General features: G+C 51.9%; 1 protein-coding gene across 19 annotated transcripts in view, besides 1 other annotated feature; it reads right to left on the minus strand.

Moving 5' to 3' along the window:
• The window catches only part of RIMBP2 (RIMS binding protein 2), a 320,167-nt gene extending 299,609 nt beyond the window's left edge, over nt 1-20,558 (minus strand). For 16 of the 19 annotated variants that reach the window (NM_001351227.2, NM_001393621.1, XM_047428628.1 and 13 more), the window contains exon 1: nt 20,481-20,558. The gene's annotated coding sequence lies outside the window, so the exon portion shown is untranslated. Of the gene's footprint in view, nt 1-19,727; nt 19,833-20,480 lie in introns of those variants that run through there. The other 3 variants (NM_001393622.1, NM_001393619.1, NM_001393623.1) reach the window with 1 other exon arrangement.
• Nucleotides 8,057-8,801: an enhancer, noted in NCBI's record as "H3K4me1 hESC enhancer chr12:131188343-131189087 (GRCh37/hg19 assembly coordinates)". NCBI's record gives its function as "activates a minimal SCP1, AML or CMV promoter by ChIP-STARR-seq in primed H9 embryonic stem cells {active_cell/tissue: H9 hESC(primed)}" and the evidence as "EXISTENCE:reporter gene assay evidence [ECO:0000049][PMID:30033119]".
• Nucleotides 20,559-23,506: the final 2,948 nt, after the last annotated feature.

Genomic DNA, 23,506 nt, shown 5'->3' on the forward strand with positions numbered 1-23,506 from the left:
AGGCTAGGATGGCTGTCTAGGTGAAGGGCAGGCTGGTCTGGACTAAGGAGCTAGCAGGGGAGGTGGGAAGAAGAGGTTAGGTATGTTGAAAGTTTAGAGACGTCCAGATGTGCTATGGTTTGGATATGGGCTTGAAGAGGAGTCATGGTTGATCCCAAGGCTTTATACTGCAGCAACTAGATGAAATACGTTGCCATTTACAAAAATGAAGACCCCTGGAGGAGGAGTACATTTATGGGAGTAAGAAATTGCAAGTATATGATTTTGGACAGATGCATTTCAGATGTGCATTGGGTCACCAAGGGGAGATGCTACATGGGCAACTGATCACCTACTAAATTCCAGGAGCTGCAGAAGGTACCAACGATGCATGGACACAACCCTGCCCTCCATGCTCACGTCCCAGCCAGCAGGCTGACGTGTCCACAAGGACAGGCACATGATAAGGGCTTTAACATGGGTACACGCAAAACCTTACTGGGAGTGCAGAAGACGCCTGCACAATGCAGCTGCCTGGGGAGGGCAGAGACAGACCCAGCTCCTGAAAGGAAGAGGCCGCTGATGGGAGTCTGGGGGATGTGTGTGGTGATCTGGTTTTTCTATACATCAGTCATTCAGAGGCTACCTTCAAATGTGTCATCTGCATCCCTCAAGTTTGATCTAATAATTTTCTTTAAATTACTGACATTAAACCTGAGTAAGGTTTAAATTTATAGATCACCACCACAAAATGAAAGCCAACATCATCAGCCTTAAATGTAAAGTAACAATTAATATAGGTTGTTTTAAAAAGCAGAAGGATATGAATTTCTAGCTAGATAGCTGAGCTGACTCAGCATTTTGAGCCAGAGGTTCACAAAGCGATCACTGTGAACATTGATCATTTAACAAATGAGGTTTAACAAAGGTGATTAGCAAGAATTAGAAATATCAAGTCCAACTAACACCAAACTGAGACTTTCTCCTTGATTTAATCAGAAGGAGTAAGGGGAATTAAAAGGAAATAAGTGTGCTATTCTGTAATGCCATGTTGTTCAGCAATGTTTGAGAAGCCGCTTAAACCTCTCTTTGGAGTCTCAGTTTGGGAAGCACTGTATCTGGTCAGAGAAAAGGCAGCATTCAGGGCAGTGGCAACAGCTTCTGCAAAAGCACAGAGGCAGGAAGCAGCCGAGCATGTTTTGAAAGCTACAAATCATCTCACGTGGCTAAAGGGAGAGGTGAACGGGGGCTGTAAGGTGGGCAGGAGTCAGATTGGGAAGTGCCTCGCCTGCCAGGCTGAAAACAGGGGATTTTATTTTGCAGACAATGAATAAGTGCCTCCGAAGGGTGTCAAACAAGATGATGGGATCAGGTTCATATTTATAATGAACACACAGGATGGAATGAATGAAGACTGCCAGACTGGAGGTACCTCAGGAGACACAATACCGGACGAAAGCCATCCTGAACTAAGACCACAGAAATAATAGAGAATTCCAGACCCAAGAAGTATTAATGTGGCCAGGTGCAGAGGCTCATGCCTGTAATCCCAGTGCTCTGGGAGGTGAAGGCGGGAGAACTGGTTGAGGCCAGGAGCTCAGGACCAGCCTGAGTAACATAGCAAGACCCCTCTCTACAAAATATCTCTACAAAATAGCCGGGTATGGTGGTGGACGCCTGTGGTCCCAGCTACTCGGGAGGCTGAGGCGAGAGGATTGCTTGAGCCCAGGAGTTCAAGGCTGCAGTGGGCTATGATTGCACCACTGTTCTCCAGCCTGGGTGCAGAGGGAGACCTGGCCTCTTTAAAAAAATCATAATAATTGTGGTAGAATTGGCAGGCCTTGGCAACTGATTGGAGATAGAAGTTCAGGGAGGAATATTCTGCAATTGTCCTTGTCCTTCCTAAATTGGATGTGGTGCCATCAACCTTCATCAAGAACACAGAAGGGAAATTAGCCAGGCACAGTGGTGCCCACCTGTGGTCCCAGCTACTCCAGAGGCTGAGGCTGGAGGATCGCCTGAGTCCAGGAAGTCAAGGCAGCAATGAGCTATGATTGCACTGCTGCACTCCAGCCTGGGCCACAAAGCAAGACCCCATCTCTTTAAAAAAACAAAAATAAAAGTGGAAAGAAGGGCGAGTGTTGGTGAAGAGACAGTGAGCTCCATTTGGGATGCACTGAACTTGCAGGAAATGCAAGAATCAAGAAAAGTTGTCTAGGAAGCAGCTGGAACCATGTTTAATATTTAGGGGGACATTTGGGGCAGGGATTTGAGCCGTCTTCAACAGCTAACTTGCGGTCACGGGCGTGGAGAGGGACAGCCTGGAGAAGAGGAGAAAGTTGAGAGCTGTGCTGTGAGGCCCTTCTTCATAGGAGGGGCCATGAAGGAGACAGAGAAGGACAGGGAAGGTGGGAGGGGAACCAGGAGGCAGCAGAGTAACAGACCCCAGAGATAAAGACTTTCAAGGGAGAAGGCGTGGGCCACAGAGCCAGAGGGGGTGCAACCGTGACTTAGTGAAGCCCCTTCCTTTGGGTCTCGTTACAGCCACAGAACCCGCCTCCATCTGACTCAAACACTGTCCTTAACTTGCTCACTTCAGAAGGCCGTCCGTCCCTGCTACCGCTCCTAATGTCCTGGTCTCTGCCTCTCCTCCTGCTCCTTCACATGACCTGTCAGGAAGGGACAAGCATGACTCAGCCCCACAAAATTCCAGTGTGTGCAGTTTACAAAAGATGCTAGAAATACAAGTTTTAGACTGGACGCAGTGGCTCACACCTGTAATCCCAGCACTTTGGGAGGCTGAGGTGGGTGGATCTCTTGAGGTCAGCAGTTCAAGACCAGCCTGGCCAATATGGTGAAACACCATCTCTACTAAAAATACAAAAATTCCTAAAACCATAAAAATCCTAGAAGAAAACCTAGGCAATACCATTCAGGACATAGGCATGGGCAAGGACTTCATGTCTAAAACACCAAAAGCAATGGCAACAAAAGCCAAAATTGACAAATGGGATCTAATTAAACTAAAGAGCTTCTGCACAGCAAAAGAAACTACCATCAGAGTGAACAGGCAACCTATAGAATGGGAGAAAATTTTTGCAACCTACTCATCTGACAAAGGGCTAATATCCAGAATCTACAAAGAACTCAAACAAATTTACAAGAAAAAAACAAACAACCCCATCAAAAAGTGGGTGAAGGACATGAACAGACACTTCTCAAAAGAAGACATTTATGCAGCCAAAAAACACATGAAAAAATGCTCATCATCACTGGCCATCAGAGAAATGCAAATCAAAACCACAATGAGATACCATCTCACACCAGTTAGAATGGTGATCATTAAAAAGTCAGGAAATAGGTGCTGGAGAGGATGTGGAGAAATAGGAACACTTTTACACTGTTGGTGGGATTGTAAACTAGTTCAACCATTGTGGAAGTCAGTGTGGCAATTCCTCAGGGATCTAGAACTAGAAATACCATTTGACCCATCCATCCCATTACTGGTTATATACCCAAAGGATTATAAATCATGCTGCTATAAAGACACATGCACACGTATGTCTATTGCGGCACTATTCACAATAGCAAAGACTTGGAACCAACCCAAATGTCCAACAACAATAGACTGGATTAAGAAAATGTGGCACGTATATACCATGGAATACTATGCAGCCATAAAAAATGATGAGTTCATGTCCTTTGTAGGGACATGGATGAAACTGGAAACCATCATTCTCAGCAAACTATTGCAAGGACAAAAAACCAAACGCCGCATGTTCTCACTCATAGGTGGGAACTGAACAATGAGAACACATGGACACAGGAAGGGGAACATCACACACCGGGGACTGTTGTGGGGTGGGGGGAGGGGGGAGGGATAGCGTTAGGAGATATACCTAATGCTAAATGACGAGTTAATGGGTGCAGCACACCAACACGACACATGTATACATATGTAACAAACCTGCACATTGTGCACATGTACCCTAAAACTTAAAGTATAATAATAATAAAATTTTAAAAAATACAAAAATTAGTCAGCCATGGTGGCAGGTGCCTGTAATCCCAGCTACTCGGGAGGCTGAGGCAGGAGAATCACTTGAACTGGGAGGCAGAAGTTGCAGTGAGCCGAGATCATGCCTCTGCACTCCAGCCTGGGTGATGGTGTGAGACTCTGTCTTAAAAAAAAAAAAAAAAAAAAAAAAAGAAATACAGGTTTTATATTAAAATATCCCAATTTTTAAAATGCTAGCAACCAATTTTAACCATTTTTTCCCTAATTCTACGTAGGCCAAATAGAAAGCGTGTGTGGGTGGCTCTCAGCCCACAGATGCCCATCTGCTACCCCTAAGGGGCAGCCATGTTCCCTCCCCAGCCACCCAACTGAGGAAAATGCTTCCTGAACTCTTACTAGCCAGAAAACATTTGATGGTCTTCCAGTTGGTGTGGTTTTTAGTTTATTTTCTCTCAATCTCTAATTGGCAGGCCATTTCTACAAAGACCCACACAGCCCCAGGCCCGCAACAGCCAAGGTCCTTTTCTCCCTTCACCCATTCCCCGGAAAGATGCCTGGAGTTGAGGAATCTCTAAGACACCAGCCACACCCCGCAAGGGTCTGCAAGACGGTCAACCACGGCAGTGGACTGAGGAATGTCCCCCGAGAATCACGTTCACTCGAGACCTCAGAATGGGACCTCACTTGGAAGTAGGGTTTTTGAAGATGCAATTCTTAAGGTAGGAATTCAGATGGGATCATGCTGGGTCAGGGGCCCTCAATCCAACGAGAATGTCCTTCTGGAGATGGAGAAGGCCACATAGAGCCGCAGGAGAAGGCCATGTGGAGACAGAGGCAGAGGTGGGGGCAGGGGGCTGGCCACAGCCAAGGAACACCTGGAGCCACTGGAAACTGGAAGAGGCAGGAAAGATCCCACCCTGGAGCACAGCCCTGCCAGCGCCTGGATCTCAGACTTTCGCGTTCAGAACTGGGAGGGAAGAGATTTCTGTTGTTTTAAGCCCCCTAGTTCATTCTAAGTTATTATGACAGCTGCAGGAAACTGATCCAACCACCCAACAAATTCCAAACGTTCCATCACACAACAAGCACCTTGTGAGCACCTCCTGTGCACACCTTGTGAGCGCCCACTGCATACACTTTGTGAATGCCCACAGTGCACACTTTGTGAGCACCCACTGTGTACTCTTTGTAAGCACCACTGTGTACAAGCACTTCCTGTACTGAGCATGGTGTGTGTGCCACATGTAACATGGCCCTGCCTTTTAGCAAGTAGTTTTCTAGGACAGACAAGAAGAGTGCACAGGTCTCTAGAACACAGGTAAACACTGAGAAGGGCTAAAACACAAATACAAGGTTTCCGTGTGATTTCGAAGGATGGGCAGGATGTCATTGCAGTTGGAGGCCACTGGGTTCAGCTGTAGACAGGGAGCCACTCTGAGCCATGCCCACGGGGTAAGAAGGGAAGCAGCAGAGCCCCCCAGCAGGTGGGAGCTGAGCCGGGGCCCTCACGCTGTAAGCCCCCCTAACACAGCGGGGTGGACAGCTTTGCCAAGCTGCCTGGGAAGGCCTTGGAGTGTTCTATAAATACAGAACCAGCAGGTGTTGTGGTTGGAAGACATAAAAGCTACGTGGCACTTTCTGCCTTACACTCAGCTTACATCACACGTGGAACTGCTTGTATTGGAGTTTACAACCCCTGAAGACACAAGGGTTCCAAAGAATGCCGACAGCCAGTAGGTCCCATATCACACTCAGGGGCGGAGAGCAGCCCAGGGGAGCCGGGCACAGGAAACCTTCACAGTCAGGCCCGCGTCTGAACATGGGGTGAAAAGTACCTTGCTGGGCACGTTGTAGGGGAAGGTGTCTGAGCAAGGAAGGCGTGAGACTGTGAGACCGACTGTAGCACCTGATGCTGACTTGAGCCCCCTCAAAGCCATGGGACACAAATCGCTCCTGCTTGACAGTGTGGGAAGCTGCAAAATTCATTGTTTTTCTTCAAGATCTTTGGGCCAAATAATAGCACGTCTTTAAATAACGCATCCTTCAACTCAGTGGGCAAAACAAGTTATACCTGACAACCTGCCTTAAAACCAAGGAGCCGGGATCAGGGTTGCCATGGCCCACCCCTTCCCATAATGCTTCCTTCACCCCGCTGGAGGTACATGCAGCCCACACACGTATGTTCTAGAAGGAACAGATGCTCTAGGGAAGGGACTGCAGGCACAAGGCCCACCAAAACATAATGCGGCACGAAAGAGGCCCCCATGTGGATGTTGCTCCCTGTGGCCAGCCAATTTCAGTCAATAATCCAGTACGAGGATGAGCCCAGCCCACAAGACACATACTCTTCCTAACTAAACAACAAGGGTCCCAGCTGTTTGCATTACAGTGGGGGAGGAAAATCTAAGCTTCTCTCTAGCTGAACCCTTAGCAATGATTTTGGGTAAATTTCCAAATTGCCTCCACCACCAAGAGCAATGAAATAACCACATGTGGGACCGGGCACAGTGGCTCATGCCTGTAATCCCAGCACTTTGGGAGGCCCAGGTGGGTGGATCACCTGAGGTCGGGAGTTCGAGACCAGCCCGATCAATATGGAGAAACCCCATCTTTACTAAAAATACAAAATTAACTGAGTGTGTTGGCACATGCCCGTAATCCCAGCTACTTGGGAGGCTGAAGCAGAAGAATCACTTGAACCCTGGAGGCAGAGGTTGCAGTGAGCTGAGATCATGCCACTGCACTCCAGCCTGGGCAACAGAGCAAGACTCTGTCTCAAAAAAAAAATAAAAAAATAAAAAACAAGAAAGAAGGAAGGAAGGAAGGAAGGAAGGAAGGAAGGAAGGAAGAAGGGAGGGAGGAAGGAAGGAAGGAACCACATGTAAGATGAAGGAGAAGAAAATAGGAATGGTGTGTGTGAGAGCAAGACAGGCTGTGTGCAAGCCCTTCCTGTTTTGTTAGTATTAATTTCTTTTAGTAAGAACCATGGCCGGGCGGTGAGGACAGAGGCCCTGGAATCAGATGATCCTGATCGGAATCTTGGGCCCCTTCCCCAAACCCAGTTACAAATTGTGCACCTTTGGACAAGTTGCTTAATTTCTTGGGGCCGCTCTTTTCTCATCCATAAAACTGGAATTAATCATAGGGCTGTATGGAAATTCCATGAAATCAACCATCCCGGGTGCTCAGCCGGGACCTGCCTCAACAGGGGTTGAGAGCATCTACTTCTTTCCTCCTGGGCTGAGACAATGAGACTGTGATTTCCAGCAATTTATTCATTTCAGAAAAATGCTGCTGCTACTCAGATGCCCGGAGAAGTTCATTAGAACAGGATTTTCCTGTAATGCCTCCAGGTCACCAGGTCACTGCAGCAGGCCAGGGGTGGGATTCTTTGCCTGGCAGTTGGAGATAATTGCAGTTGCCAAAGTGGTCCGGCCTCCTAGCATGGGGGCAGCCAATTAACCAGGAGAGTCACCCTCCTGGTTGACAGATGACGCCTGGTGTTGGCCTTGTGCACCCCGATTAACCTCCAGGCGGGCTCCCCCTCCGCCCTGGACATTTTCAGTTTCCTGCACTTATTATGAAGCCTGCCCAAGAATCCCTAATTCACTAATAAGAAAATCACCATCTAACATCAGTGTTTGAAAATGACCTTGTGTTAGAACTGTGGTGGGAAGAGTGCTGTATTCTCAAACGATCACTGTTTTTTAAAAGCGTGGCACGGGCACTCCCTCGGCCACCCGCCTGCCCTCCCCAATCCCTCACCCACTGCTGCGACCACCCGGTGCTCAGCTCAGGGCTGAGCCGCAGTCTGAGGGCCGGGCCCTGGCATGGGCTCCATCAGATCCCGTAATCGGATCCGGGCGCTTTAGCCCTCACGTGACTAGGGGCCACCGCCTAACCCTGATTAGCGCTCTACATCACCCACCGCTCAGCCTCCCCTGGGGTCGGGTGGCTTCTCCACGTCTTAAATAAGATTCAGTTGTCATGTGTAGTATATTGGGAGTGCGTTTGAAACGGTGTTTCCTAGGGGAGAAGAAAGGAAAACAGCACCCACAATTGAACAGCTTAGGAAATACAGAGAGAGAGAGAGAGATCGATCTAGAAGCACGGAGGGAACCCTGAGCCTGAGCCTGAACGCAGCGCAGAGGTCTGGGGCCCGACCACCCTGGGAGGCAGTGCCCCAGCTGTGCTCACCGGTGAGGGGAACACACCACCTTCCTGCTACTTTAGGGACATCAGCAAAGTCTCCCTTAAATATCTCCCTTTCTGTACCAAGAAAGCTATAAATCGGAGCCCCATCCTTCCAGATGAAGCAGCATTTTAAAACCTCAGTTTCATCTGGAAAGCAGCTGGGGAAGCACCCCATGGCCAGGTCGACTTCCCTCCAGGCACCAGAACACAGGCAGGGAGGACAGAGGAAGTGCAGGAGGAGGGACGAGGACCGAGGAGGCAGAGGGAGGGTGCTCTGTGGGCCCTGGCAACTCAACCCGCGTCCCAAAGCAGCTCTCATTAGGGCTGGGCTCCTGACGTCTTGTTTAAAAAATAAACAAAAAGCCAGGGGTGGTGGTTCATGCCTGTAATCCCAGCACTTTGGGAGGCCAAAGCAGGTGGATCACCTGAGGTCAGGAGTTTGAGACCAACTGGCCAAATTGGCGAAACCCTGTCTCCACTAAAAATACAAAAATTAGCCAGGCATGGTGGCGGGCACCTGTAATCCCAGCTACTTTGGAGGCTGAGGCAGGAGAATCACTTGAACCCGGGAGGCAGAGGTTGCAGTGAGCCAAGATCATGCCACTGCACTCCAGCCTGGGCAACAGAGCCAGACTCCATCTCAATAATAATAATAATAATAAACAAAAGTAAATGGCTTCTAAAGGGAAGTTTTTAAATCTCAAATTAATTAGATGGCACTCCGCATTTTCTAACCCACTTTCCAAAGGTGTTCCCTCCGTGGACTCATAACCCCTCGCCCTGCCACCACCGCCTCCACAGGTCTGTTTCCCAAAGCGTAGACTGCCAGCCAGAGAGCACCTGCAAGACGGGCCGAGGCTCCGGGGCTCCACCACCAGGGTCACCGGTTCAGGTCCTGGCATCGCTGCTCTCTAGCTATGTGATCTTGGGCTAGCTGCTTCACCTGTCTGTGCGTCCAAGTCCCTGTCTCCACGATGGTGGGGACAGTGATACCCTCCTGTGCTCGTTTCCTGGGCTGCCATGACAAATGACAAAAAACTGGGAGGCTCAAAACAACACACATCTCTTCTCTCATAGATCTAGAGGCCAGAAGCCCAGAAGCCGGGGTGGCAAGACCAGCTCCCTCCAAAGCTGCGTGAGGATCCCTGCCTCTGCCAGCACCGGCTGCCTCTGGGGGCTCCTCTCCGTGGCCACATTGCTCTGGTTCCGCCTTCAGAGTCACACGGATGTGCCTGAAACTGAGTTTTTCACAAATCAATGACACTGGAGGATGCATGAGTTAGGAAGAAGATGCCTGCACACCCGAAGCCCAGGAGAACCAATGAGATGTTAATATTCCCACTGGTGAAAAGCAGAGACCAAGACTAGACAGGCTCATGAAGCCGCCCGGAGCCTCCCGGCCAGTCACCACGCAACAAAGACCGGGGCCCTGGCTGCCGCACCACCGCCCTGTGCTTCCTAACGCATCTTTCACCTCTGGGGAAAAGGAGGTTCAGTTTCCCCATTTGTCATGTCCGTGACTGTGGGCCACAGAAGCCTCCTGGGGGAGAGGCTGGCAGGGAAGGGACGCAGCTGTCCCAGGCCCACACAGGAGCCCACGTGGTTCCCTGTAAAACGCTCTTCCTGACCAGCTCCTCACTAACGAACAACTCAGCACAGGCGTTTGCTGTGTTTCTCTGCGGTTCTCACGCCTCTCCTGCTGCACACCGCTTTCCTGCTCTTTCTCTCCTTCTGTGACGCTGGAGCACACTGGGTATGGCAGGAGTGAACTGCTGCAGGGCCACAGGCGCCCAGCCTGCAAAAACGTCCCAACACAGACAGGGCAGGCCCAGTGCCCCAAGGCAAACGCCCACCAATGGGGTGGCCAGGTGTGGCTGGGACCAACGGAGGCAGAAGCCGTTCTCTTCCCAGCCTACCCATCCCTGCAAGGTCACAAAAATGCTGATGGTTACTTCGTGCAAAAGTGTCTCCCTCCTACCGTGACCGGCTCACTTCGCACACACTTTAGACAGCTCTGCTCATGAGAAAGGAAAAATAAATACACTGCGGAAGCATCTACAAGAAATCTGGGCTGCACAAGCTTCAGAGGACCCGTTTCTGGGACTATCTGTATTATTCTACTAATTCCATTCACATGCTAATGATTGGTCTGTTTGGAGTTTAATAATAATAGCAGGAATCGTAATAGCTAATGTTTGTTGAACCCTCACACTATTCCAGGCCCTGTTCTAAATGCTCTGTGCCATTGAAGTCATTTAATCATCAAAGCACCCCTTCTGCCGTCCCCATCTGAATGGAAATAAAGGCAATTGCTAATCTTTATTGAGTGTTGCAAGATACTAAGCACTTTTCCCCAGTGAATGCCTTCAATAACAATCCGTCGAGGAGAAGACGGATGCTATTGTTACCTGCATTTTATGGATAAGACAACGAAAGCGCAGAGAGGTTCAGAAGAGAGCCTGTGGTCACACAGCCGGAAGTAGCAGAGCAGAGATCGGGGCCTGCCAGCCTGGCTCCAGACTCTGCCCTGTGACTGTGGCTAATTCCACCAGTGAAGGCTGCTTCCGAGGGACACGTTCACGGAGCAGCTCCCCGCACAGATGCTGTGGGGCACAGGCAGGTCCGCGCTCCCCATGGCAGCATGGCGTAGTGGCCAGGGGCAGGCGCTCTGGCGAAAGTGCCCAGTGAATCTTGGCTGCTCCACTCAGGAGCCATAAGGATTTGGGCAAGTGACTTAACCTTTCTGGGTGTTGGTGCCTTTTGACAGTTAAATGAGCTAGCTGGTGGGAAGAGTGCAGAACAGGCCTGGGGTACGGTGAGGATTCAATGAGGCCGGCTCTTGTTTTCATGGCTCATGCTATTGCTCTCCAAACAGACTTATCACCAAAATTATCATGCAGTGATTCGGCAGCCGCCAGTGGTCCCAAATGCCGCAGGCTCATTCTGCAGATTGATGGAGAATGGGCATTTCCCACAAGCTCCGCCAGGTCTAGCTTGTGCCTCTGCTGAGAGACCCACCTTCCCAGCCCTACCCCATGGAAGAGAGAAAAATCCTAAATTAACAATGTGAAATCCTGAAATGACCAAGAAAACATCAAGTAACTGAACGTGTCCTCAAGCGACAAGATTCTCTTTCCTGTTCTTGAGCAGGGCCCGGGCGTGAGAGCTGAAGCAGGCCGGGGTATACACAGGACAGTGGCCCAGGGGACACCCAGGCCTGAGAGCAGGAAGAGCGGTGGGGTCACAGAACAACCCGGAAAGACGCAGACACACTCAGAACTTCCAACTGCCAGTCGTATCCAGCTGCAGATGCTGGCATAGGTACGCAGAGGATTCGTGCCCTCACAGAATGGAACGGTGCCCACCTGAAGGGAGGCAACTGGGAGGAGCAGGGAACAAGGTCCCCCCCACGCCCAGGAGTCCTCCCATGGGGAGGGAGGGAGGCACATCAAGAAACAGAACAGGTGATAGGACAGGAGGTCCAGATGGCTGCTGTCATGGCAGGCAGTCAGGGAAGGCTTCTCAGAGGCGGTGACCTTTGAGCAGAGCCCTGAACAACATGATGAGTGAGTAGCTGGGAGAAGAGCCTTCCAGACAAAGACATGAAGGAGGAAGAGCTGGCAGGCCTGTGGCCATCAGGAGGCCCTTGCGCTTGCTCTAAGTGAGAATAAATGCAATCAGAAGCTTCCAAGAGTGGGCGTGGACTGAGCCGTTTCCAACAGGAGCCCTCTGGCTGCTGTGTGAGAGTGACTTGCAGGCAGAGGTGGACACAGGAGGCCTGGGGGCGCTGAGGCAGTGTGGCCCAGGGACAAGACCAGGGGTCTCTGGCCAAGGGGACCGAGGCGGCCCGAGCAAGAAGAGCTCAGAATCAGGATGTGAAGGGAAAGTGGCGGATATTAGTGGATCACATGTAGGCAACAGCTAGATAGAGGCTGGGAAGAGGACATGTTTGGCAAAGCAAATGCTTAGCCAAGAAATGGGGGGATTGAGAGAGAGGGAGAGAGAGAGAGACTATACGCATTACACATGACTATATTTGCAATAATCTCAGGCCTTTTAGAAAGTACTGATGCCTGTGGGTAAACATGTGGTCCAGCCACACAGTGGAATATTATTCAGCCATAAAAAGAGATGACGCTCTGACACACACCACAACACGGGTGAACCTTGAGGATGCTGTGCTGAGGGAAAGAAGCCGGCCACAGAGGACCATGTGTAGTATGATTCTGTTCACGTAAGATGTCCACGGCGGGACATCTATAGAGACAGCAGATTCGCAGTTGCCAGGGCTGGGAGGAGAGGAGAGAGGAGACTGGTTGCTTAATGGCAATTTCTTTTTGAGGTGATGAAAATGTTCTAACATTGATGACAGTGATGGTTGCACAACTCTGAATATACTGACAACCCCTGACTTGTACTTTAGATGGATGAATTGGATGGTAGGTAAGTTATATCTCAGTAAAGCAGTCTTAAAGCTGGGCATGGTGGCTCGTGCCTATAATCTCAGCACTTCAGGAGGCTGAGGCAGGAGGATCGCTTGAGTCCAGGAGTTTGAGACCAGCCTGGGCAACATAGCAAGACCCTGTCTCTACAAAATATAAAAAATTAGCCAGGCATGGTGACACGCGCCTGCAGTCCCAGATACAAAGGATGCTGAGGTGGGAGGATCACCTCAGCCTGTAGGTCGAGGCTGCAGTGAACCGGGATTATGCCACTGCACTCCAGCCTGGGCGACACAGTGAGACCCTGTCTCAAAAAAACAAATTAGTGAAATAAAGCTGCTTTGAAAATACTGTTATACCTGCGCCCCAGCTCACTGCACCTTCTCTAAGAGGCTCGCGTGGGCCCTGGACACAGGCGTGTTTCAGAGCTCCCTGGGACTGCATCTGACCCAGAACCGGCTCCGCCCCAGCTTCTCTGGGATCTCACAGGTCCTGCAGCGCTGTAGTCCCAACCCAGCTTCGCGGTCAGGCAGCCCGGGTTTGAAACTGGGCCCATCTCTCCCCAGCTGTGTGATCTTCAGAGAGCCCCTCCATCTCTCAAAGACTATTGTCTCATCTGTAAAATGGGTCTACATGAGCAACAGGGCCTGCCGCAGAAGGGCTGTGTCATGCATGTAACCGAGGAAGGCACCCAGCAACGTGCCGGCAACAGCAGTCCGATGCATTGCTGCATTTGAGCTGGAAAAGCTGTTTACACAACTTCCCATCTTTAATTCTCACGATCCAGAAGCCACGATGCAGGAGGCAGTCACCAGGGCTGGTGGGCTTGGGGACAAGCAGGAAGGAAGCTGGGGAACTGTCTGGACAGAGGCATGGCCCTCCCGGGGCCCCAACTGCCATTCGCTGCATCCACCCTTCCCACAGAGACAATTATTGAGCCCCAGCCAGGTCTCAGCCACTCGCTGGGCACTGGGGACTCAGCCACAGGCTGAAGACGCAGAACCCACACCACAGCTGGGGCTGGGGCAGGTCTCTGGGCGTGACGCCCGACAGCAGAGCTCTGGCACCCGCAGCCTGCGGGGCAGCTCCAGGCTAAGGAGTCAACACGCAGCTCGAGCCCTTGGCCCTTGAACATGGAGCGCTTTACAGACCTGGAGCTGAGTCAAGGCACGTTTCCCAAGATTTTGGGGCTCCCCTCTCAGGGAGAGGGAAGGAAGAGTCGGAAACAAAGCTGCCTGTTGCCCCCGTCCCAATATCTCCGTCCAAGGAGGTACAGGGGCAGCGTGATGGGGTGTGTTCCTGCTCTTGGAAACCACGTCGGTAATAAGCATGAAGAATGCCTTGAGGAAACCCCCCCCCTTCCCACCCAACCCAGCGGCCCGTTCCTGACATTCCCATCGCGGACACACACTGGGTGTGGCACCAGGAGCGTTTAATCAGAGGAACCTGTACCAACGCACCCCCAGGCCCCCTCAGGAGGCCCCTGCTGCCAAAATGGCCAAATGGGCTTTCTTTTTGGTAGCACTGGGCAGGAGGGAGGCAGGGGAAGGAGCGCGGTAAGAGGCATAGGAGGGGCAAGGAGGACCTTCCACCCAAAGGGACACCATGACCAACTCCCCATGGATGGAAATGACAAAAAGTACACCACTGGCCCCCTGGTTTCCGGGTATCCCTGGGAGCTCACGGGTGGACACCGAGGGTCTCCAGGAGAGGGGTTGGCTCTGCAGCCCCTGTGGTCCCAGCTGCTCCAAAAACACCCAAGGAGCAATTTCTGCACATACCTATGAGAATCAAAGCCACCGAGCAGCTCGCAGATCCATTCCTCCCTCTGCCCTCGGGGCCTGAACCTCTCTCCCAGGTGTCTGCACCTCTGGCTCCTTCTCAGGGTCCTGTCTCAGCTTCAACGCCACCTCCTCCCTGAGACCCTCCCAGATCATCCAGGTGCGGCCCCTGACATCAGCCATTGGAACCCTCTGCTGGGCACTCCATCAGGGCAGCTGTCTCTGGTGTAGTGATTATTCATTCACTTGCCCGTTGTCTTACACATGCACACACACACATACACGCAGGCGCACACACACACATACACACACACACGTACACACACACATGTGTGCTCCCCATGAGGGCAGCACCCTCCTCTAGCTTGTTCACTGCTCACCTAAAATGTGAGTCAGTATTTAGCAGGTGCTTAAAGGTTTGCTGAATGAATAGGTCATGCCCTGCCTTCCTGGGTCCCACACAGATAGAGAAGTGGCAGGTGCTGCACCTCCCCCGCCCCAGGCTCAGCACCAACAGGAAGGACCTGTCCACACAGCTAGGCCAAGGAGAGAGCCCCCCTCATCTCCCACACTGGGTCTCTCCAGCAAGTGCTTATCCAGCACCTACTAATGACAGACCACAAAACACCAACAAATGAGAATATCCCAAATGGACGTCTTCAGGCCTCTCCCTGCTCTACCTGCTCCTCCACAAGCCCCACTGCTCCCAATCCTCACAGGCCCCGCACGTCACACGTGGGGTCCCATGGAGCCCTGACAGCCACCTCCCTTTCTCGTGTAGGTGAGCATTAAGAAGAGGCTATCTGACCAGGCACAGTGGCTCATGCCTGTAATCCTAGCATTTTGGGAGGCCAAGGTGGGCAAATCGCCTGAGGTCAGGAGTTCAAGACCAGCCTGGTCAACATGGCGTAATCCCATCTCTATTAAAAATACAAAACTTAGCCGGGCGTGGTAGCCCACGCCTGTAATCCTAGCTACTCAGGAGGCTGAGGCAGGAGAATCGCTTGAGCCCAGGAGGCGGAGGCTGCAGTGAGCTGAGATCATGACACTGCATTCCAGCCTGGGTGACAGAGCAAGACTCTGTCTCAAAAGAAAAAAAAAGAAGCTATCCAGCCTCTCACAAATCCAGAGAAGCCCCAATTTCCTCCATTTTCTGAGGTTCCTTGTCCAGGGAAAAATTAAGAAATGTCTATTACCCTTTTCACGTTTTGCTGGATTCCATTTTCTAATTTACTAATACTTGACTTAGAATGTGGTGTCTGTGACCATGAGAGTTTGGCCAGCACATGTTCTTCCTTCTGATGGCCTCACTGGGGTTTTGTATCAAGATTATTCTGGGCTTTTAAAATGAGTGTGCTTTGTCTTTTTTCTCCATTTTTTGAAGATGCTATTTGGAGTGATTTACTTAGGACGTCATTTGGACTTAAAGTTTATATTGTGTGAAGGTTTCTCATTACAGATGCATTTGCTTCTCACACATATGAAAATAACCACAAAAAAGTTAAAATAGATTTAGATTAAATGTTACTTTTCAGGGACCCACCTCATAAATGAATACTTCTAACCCCACAAACCCTAGTACAGTGTGACTGGCTTGTTCAAAGATAAATGCAGTCACGCCTTGCTTAACAAGGATGCGTTCGGAGAAATGCCTCATTAGGTGATTTCGTCACTGAGCGCACCTCACACACAGGTACACTGCACACACGCCCGGGCCGCACAGCCTCCTCCACGCCCTGGCTCGATGGGCAAGCCCATTGCTTCCGGTTTCACAGCTGTGCAGCCCGTGACTGTACTGAGTACTGTAGGCCACTGCCACACAATGGTGAGTACTTCTGCATCTAATCATAGAAGAGAGGCAGCGGAAGTAAGATCTAAAAGATAAAGCATGGTGCACCTGTATAGGGCGCTTAGCATGAATGGAGCTTGCGGGACTGGAAGTGACTCTGGGTGGGTGAGTGAGTGAGTGAGGAGTGGACGTGAGGGCCCAGGCATTCCTGTACGTGTCTGTAGACCCTACAGAGGCTGCACGTTTAGACTACGCTAAATTTATACAAAAATATTCTTCTTTCTTCCATAACTGCCCTCAGCTTACTTCGTTGCCTTATACATTTCTTAATTTTTTACCTTTTGGACTCTTTTGTAATAATACTTAGCTTAAAACACACATTGTACAGCTGTACAAAAATAATTTCTTTCTTTATATCCTCATCTATTTGCTTTTCCCTATTTGATTTTTTTGTTTGTTTGCTTTTTAAACTTTGCTGTTAAAAGCTAAGACATAAACACACACGTTCACCTAGGCCTCCCCGGGGCCAGCATCATCACATCACCGCCTTCCACCTGCACGTCCTGTCCCGCTGGGAGGTCTCCAGGGGAATAACACAAGGTGTGCCGTCGCCTCCCACGATGGCCATGCCTGCTGTCGGATCCCTCCTGAAGGACCTGCCGGAGGCTGTTCCACAGCTCACTTTTGTTTAATAAGTAGAAACAATACACTCTAAAATCATGATAAAAGTTACAGTAAATCCATAAGCCAGTAACATAGTCATTTATTATCATCGAGCATCATGTCCATGCATGACTGTATGTGCTGGACGTTCACACTCCAGGCAGCACAGTGGGTTCACCCACACCATCGTCACTAAACACGTGAGACTAAAGCTTCAAGCTGAGCAGCTACGACAGCCACACTGGGATGGGGATCTTTCAGGTCTGTTCTAATCGCACAGCCACCGCAGTACGCATGGTCTTCACTGATGGAAATGTCCTTCTTATGCAGGGCGTCATCTGGGAGATTTTCTTCAAGGAAAGATGGATCCACACAGGAGCGTGGCCCAGTGGTGGACACAAGCAGGGGTGAGTCAGAGAGAGAGACTGAGAGAGGGAGAGGAGGAATGAGGGAGGGAGGGAGACTGAGAGAAAAGGAAAGAAAAAACAAAGAGGGAGAGAAAAGGAGAGAAAGAGAGGGAAGAAGGGGACAGAGACTGAAAGAAACGGAATAAAAGAGTGAGAGAAGAAGGAAGGAAGGAAAGAAGGAAGGAAGGAAGGAAGATAGGAAGGAAGGAAGGAAGGAAGGAAGGAAGGAAGGAAGGAAGGAAGGAAGGAAGGAAGGAAGGACTGAGGAGTATGGTTCAGTGAAACCTTTGCACACAAGGGTGGTGGCACCAGCATCACCAACAAGAGATGCAGGTGTCCTCAGCTGGTTGCCCTTTGCACACAAGGGTGGTGGCACCAGCATCACCAACAAGAGATGCAGGTGTCCTCAGCTGGTTGCAAGCCTCCTCCCACACCATAGGGGATCAGACAGCTTTTCAAATGGGTGAAAGTCAAAAGAGAAACTGAGGACATAAGCCATGCACTACCACTATCTACACGGGATGAGGTAAGTGGAGAACAGAGTTTTCTGGAATCAGCAGCTCTGCTTGATCAACAAGAGACCAGCACAGCCGATCCGGTTCTCCCCCGGGTTCCCAGCACCACGCGGATTCCAAACCTTGGGGCAGAAGTGGGAAACACTGAGACGTTCAGCCGGCAAGTCTCCGCCCACCTGGAACAGATGCTCATTGCCGTGCCCTAGGGAGACTCCCGGACACAAAGGAAGCTCCCGGGTCAGGCCCTCTGGTCCCTGAGGTTTGGCACTTGCGGGTCTAGACCAACCTATGAGGCGTGCACTCAGCTTCATGTATGACCTCAGCCAAAGGCCAACAGAGAGCTGGCAACATGCCCCAGAGATGCGTAAAGCGCCTCCTGGTCACGCTGTATTCAAGGATCCTCAAAGTGGGGTCCCTGGATGCCTCCACCTCCCCTGGGACTGCGTGGGAATGCGGATTCCCGGCTCCTCCCCAGACCTGCTGGATCAGAGGTTCTGAGATTTGTAGCCCCTTAACCCACCCGCCAGGATGCCAGCGCTCACCAACGTGTGAGAATCGCTGCTCCAATTAAAACTTCAACCAGACTCCAAAAATACAAACGTGGCAGGGGGTGGATTTGAAATGGAAAGCGAAGCAAGCTCAGGAAAGAGCCAGCTCCTGCCTCTCCTCCCGCCCCCTGAGCACATGCTGGTCTCTTCCAGGCGCCAACAGTGCATGGGGCCAAAGAGATGAAACTGAAAGCTACAGTGTAGGGCCCACCGCTTGTCTTTTCATCTTCATGGCCAGGAGCTCTCAGCCCGGCTGCACGCTGGCCTCACCTGGGAGGCTTCTCCACCACCCACGCCCACCCCCGGACTCTGCAGGCTTGGGGTTCTCTGCCGGGCTTGCAGCATGGGGGAGGCCGGCTGCTATGCCCCGGGGAGGGCTGCGTGGCGCCTGCCTCCTGCGTGGGGGGCGGCCCCCATAGCGCCAGCATCTTCCTGTCTCCCGGGCACGTGGGCAGTGCCACCCTCTCCCTGACCCAGTTTGCCATCCTCTAGGAAGGGGCACGGGGGAATAGCCGCTGCCAGCGCCTTCCCTGAAATAACCTGGAAGGGCTCCACTCTGGGCCCCAGGCGGCTGCCATATGGCCACGGCACAGCCCTCGACCCCAGGCACGCCCCACCACCCCCCACTGCAGAAGGGGTGCCCGCCGGCCTTCCCCTCACACCGTGCCCCCAGGGAACCTCCGGAGCCGGTCAGACCCTGCCCATCCCACTGGGAGCTTGGGATCATGTCTCACAGGACAAGCCAAGACCCCACAGCCCAGCGGGGGATGAGTCTGAAGCTGATTCCCGGACAGCCCAGCAAGGCTGGGAGGGAGCCAGGGAGGGGCCATGTGCGTGGGGGAGGTGGTGATTTTTTAGAGCCTTCCCCCACTGTTCCCCTTAGAAACCGGGTGAGTGAGCCTGCACGCCAGCTCCCCTCCCCTGCCCACTCCTGCTCAGAGCCCAGCAGCCTGGCCTGCCGCAGGGCCCAGAGCCCGGACACCTCCTCTTCCCACCGATCTTCCATTTTCAGAGGGAGCCGCTCTCCCTCCTCTCAGGCCTGCTCCATCTGTGACATTTCCCTTCCCTGGACGAAGTGGGGTTTTCACCCTTGTGAGCAGAGTCTCCTTCAGGGCTCCTCCGTGAGAGAAATATGGGGCTGGACAGGGTCCCCTTCCCTCCCTCCTCACTCACCCTAAGAACCTCCAGGGACCCAGAGGCCACGCAGGCACGGAGCCAGCACCCCCGCCTCCCCCGGGGCCAGTGACCAGGCCGGGAGGTGAAGCAGTCCTCCCTCCCTCCGGCCAGCCGCCACCCCGACCTCAGCCAGCGTGCGCTCCCCGGGGACAGGAGGGAGGCTGCTTCCACCGAGGCCTCTGCTGACAGATGTCCGGGCCCCCACCTGGACCTACCCAGACCTAAGCTCCTGGGCGGGTGGTCCCGTACGCGCTGCCTTTCCCGGTGAAATACGGTTTCCACTGGGAGAGTCTGCCCCCGGCCAGCAGCCCGCGCACACTGCTCACACAGGCACACGCATGCACGCACACACTCTGCCGGGGAACATCTGTTTTGACAAACACATTATTCAAGTCAGTCCATGGGACGTGAATTGACAGATTCCTGGGCGCAGCCTGCGGGCTTTGTGCATTTGCACCTGAGCCGAGCTGGGGACTCTGATGTGTTTGTCCCACGTCCCCTTCCCCCCCTCCACCCCGCCCCCAAGAAGACAAGTCCAGGCCCTGAGCCGCTGCTGTCTGAGAAGCCTGGGGCGCACTCCCCAGGCGAGCGGGGCCGTGTCCATCGGGTGCCAAACTTTGCCTGGAGGGGCCTTTCTTAAAAGCCTGGGGTGGGGGCCATGACAGAGCCACAGCACCCCTGCAGCTGACACCCGGCACCCAGGAAGAAGCCCGTCAGCCCTTCCCTTCCGAGACGATCCTGAATTCCAAGCAGCACCGACATGCCAGCAGGGCGAGCCGCTGCTCCCCGCACCCAGCGCCCCCGGACCCCACGCTGAAGGGCATTCTCCATCCGCTGCAAGATAAACTTTGTCTGGGCAAAGAGTTTCCGGCTAACCCCCTGTGATCAACGCCGCTGCAGCTCGGGTGCAGAAAGGCGAGGGGAGACGGGAAGCTATTTTTAGGAGAAAAAAATAAATCTCAGCCTACCTTTAGAAGCGAGCTGTGCCAAGGCTCCGGAGGTTCACCTCGGAGACAACTGCAGTGTACTGTGTCAGATTACAAACTGGGGGCGAGACGGAGGGAGGGAGGAGGGGGAGAGGGAGAGAAGGAGGGAGGGAGGAGGGGGAGAGGGAGAGAGGGAGGGAGGGAGCAGCAGAGGGAGAGACAGGGAGCGAGAGGCAGGCAGAGGCGGCGCCCAGTCAACATTGCAGGGCATTGGTGTGTCTGCACTGCTTGCATTCAGCTAGACATGATTCATTAGTTTTCTGCAGGCAGGCAAGCAGGTCGAGAGGGAGAGAGGGAGGGAGAGAGAGGGAGAGAGAGAGGATCATCCGCCATGCAGCAGTAACCAGAGCCTCTGAAACGTCAGTGTTTGAACGCACACACACACACACACAAATACACATGCACACACACGTGCGCATACACACACCAAGATGGCTATACCCCTCACTGCCAGTTTCTTTCACAGAGCTGTGGTGAAAAGCTCGGACAGAGATGGAGGCAAACAGCTCTCAGCCATGCGGGGCTTGGGGTTGGTGCTTTTCTCTCCATCCCTGGGAAAACAGCACAGGATCTTCCCTGCAGGAGGCCGGGGGTCTCCTGCAACCGACAGGCAACCGATCAGCACATCAAAGTAAAAGCTGCCCTGGGCTCTACTCCAGGAAGCTCAGAAACTCAAGCGCCCTCAGAATTAAGTGATGAAGAGGAGCGACCCAAGCTGCCTGGGTCTTTGCTCTCCTGTCCGGCTCCCCTCCCCACCCCAAGCCTCCAGTGGCCCCGCAGATTCCCCCTTCCCACAGAACTTCAGGTGGTGGCACAGATATACCCGCTACCTAGCAACCGGGTGGTGCAGGAGGGAAAAAACCCTGGGAAACACGCACGGACTTCACACACTTGCTTCCTTCCCTGGGGTAAAAATCCCATGGCTTGTTACTGAAAGGTGCTGAATAAGATAGCTCATGCGGAGGAAAGCCCCTTTGGTATTTTGGGCTCCACATACCCTAATTGAGGCTCTGAGGGCTCCTACTAATGATGGCCCTGTGCAGGGACAAGACTCGAGTGTAGGACACGAGAATTCCAAGGAAGGGCTCACCACGGGTCCTTTGTACAAAAAGGAAGGACTTGTCCCGAGGTGCTTTCTGTTGCTTCTCCAATTAAGGCTCACTTTACAAGTTTTTTAAAAAATGGGCTCCTTAGTAAAACCAACACATCCTACCATCACCGTGGTTTTGCTTGTGATCTTAAAGGAATCGCAAAGGTCTCAAACCTAGACAGCCAGAGGAAACCTCTTCCCAAGACAACTTTTTCAACACTGTGGCAGACGGGTCCAGCGAGTTTTCCCAGTCAGGACTCATTTTGGCCTCCCGGATAGGCTTCTGAATTATATGCCTCTGAATTTGGCTGCAAGACTGGAGGCTTCTTTCAAGCCCCGTGTAGAGTGGCCCCAGCCTCTGTGCATGGAACAAAGAGATACGTGCTGTATCCAGGAGTAGGTGGCAAACCACAGATGATTCCTTTTCACCCTGCAGCAGAGTTATCAGGTCACAGAAACTACAAGACTGCAGAAAATCGTGGAAGGGACTGGTTACCAGATACTCGTACACACATGTTCACAGCTGCGCTGCTCTCAACAGCCAAAGGGTAGAAATGACACAAGTGCCCATCAATGGATGAATGGGGAAACAAAATGTGGCATATCCATACAATGCAATATTATTCAGCCAGGAAAAAGGAATGGAGTATGTGATTCCTGCTACCACATGGATGGACCTTGAGAGCACCATGCTGGGGAAAGAAGCCAGACACAAAGCCCATCTATCGTATGAGCCCATTTTTATGAAATATCCAAAATAGGCGAATTCATAGAGACAGAAAGGAGACTGGTGGTTGCTGAGGGCTAGGAGGAGAGGAGATGAGGAGTGACTCCTTACTGGAGTGGGGTTTCCTTTTGGGGTGGTGAGAACACATTGGAACAAGAGAGAGGTGGCAGTTGCACAAGACTGTGAATGTATTAAATGCCGCTGAATTGTTTACTTTAAAATGGTTAATTTTATGTGATGTGAACTTTACCTCCATAAAAACATATGAAAAGACCGTAGAAAGTGCCTGTGAATTGGGCCCCACTGACCCAGTCTGCCCCTTCCTGACTCCATCTGTGTGGCCTGGAGCAGGTCAGTCTTTTCCCACATCTGTAAAACGATCGTGTCTGCTTATCACATAATGTCTACTTCACGGGGCTCTTCTAGGGGACAAATGAAATATTTGACAGAAGGAAATAAAGCTATTCCCCCTTAGAAAGGATTCAATCTTTTAAAAGGTCATTCAGTGGCATGAAAATGACTCTCCACCTTTGTTTTCTCAGCAGAGAGGAAATTAATTGTTAAGGAATGCCATGGAACATTTAGGCCAAAAAGCCAAGGTTCGAAAACAAATAAGCTGCAAAAAATGTTTCCATTCAAAGATGCTGGGTTCTCCCCATACAGGGCCATTGCTGTCTGCACCAGCCCCACTGAGTCTCTGTCATGGCTGCACTGTCGTCTGCAGTATCCCATGTGTGTGGGGCTGCATGTCATGGGTCTCGGCGTGAGGAGCCCACTTTTTCAGCTGGACAACTTGAGACCAAAGAGTTGACTGTAGCTGCCAAGAGACACATGGTCAAATCATAGAAAGAATGCAGGGCCAGGCACAGTGGCTCATGCCTGTAATCCTAGCACTTTGGGAGGCCAGAGTGGGAGGATCACTTGAGCCTCGTAGTTCAAGACCAGCCTGGACAACGTAGTGAGACCCCATCTCTACAAAAAATACAAAACTTAGCTGGGCATGGTAGTGCACGGCTGTGGTCCCAGCTACTCAGGAGGCTGAGGTGGGAGGATGGCTTGAGCCCAGGGGGGTCAAGGCTGCAATGAGCTATGATTGCTCCACTGCACCCCAGCCTGGGGGACAGAGTGAGACTCTGCCTCAAAAAAAAAAAAAAAGAGAAAAGAAAAAAAGGAAAGAAAAGAAAAATAATA

This window comes from Homo sapiens, chromosome 12, assembly GCF_000001405.40.
Source record: "Homo sapiens chromosome 12, GRCh38.p14 Primary Assembly".
NCBI lineage: Eukaryota > Metazoa > Chordata > Mammalia > Primates > Hominidae > Homo > Homo sapiens.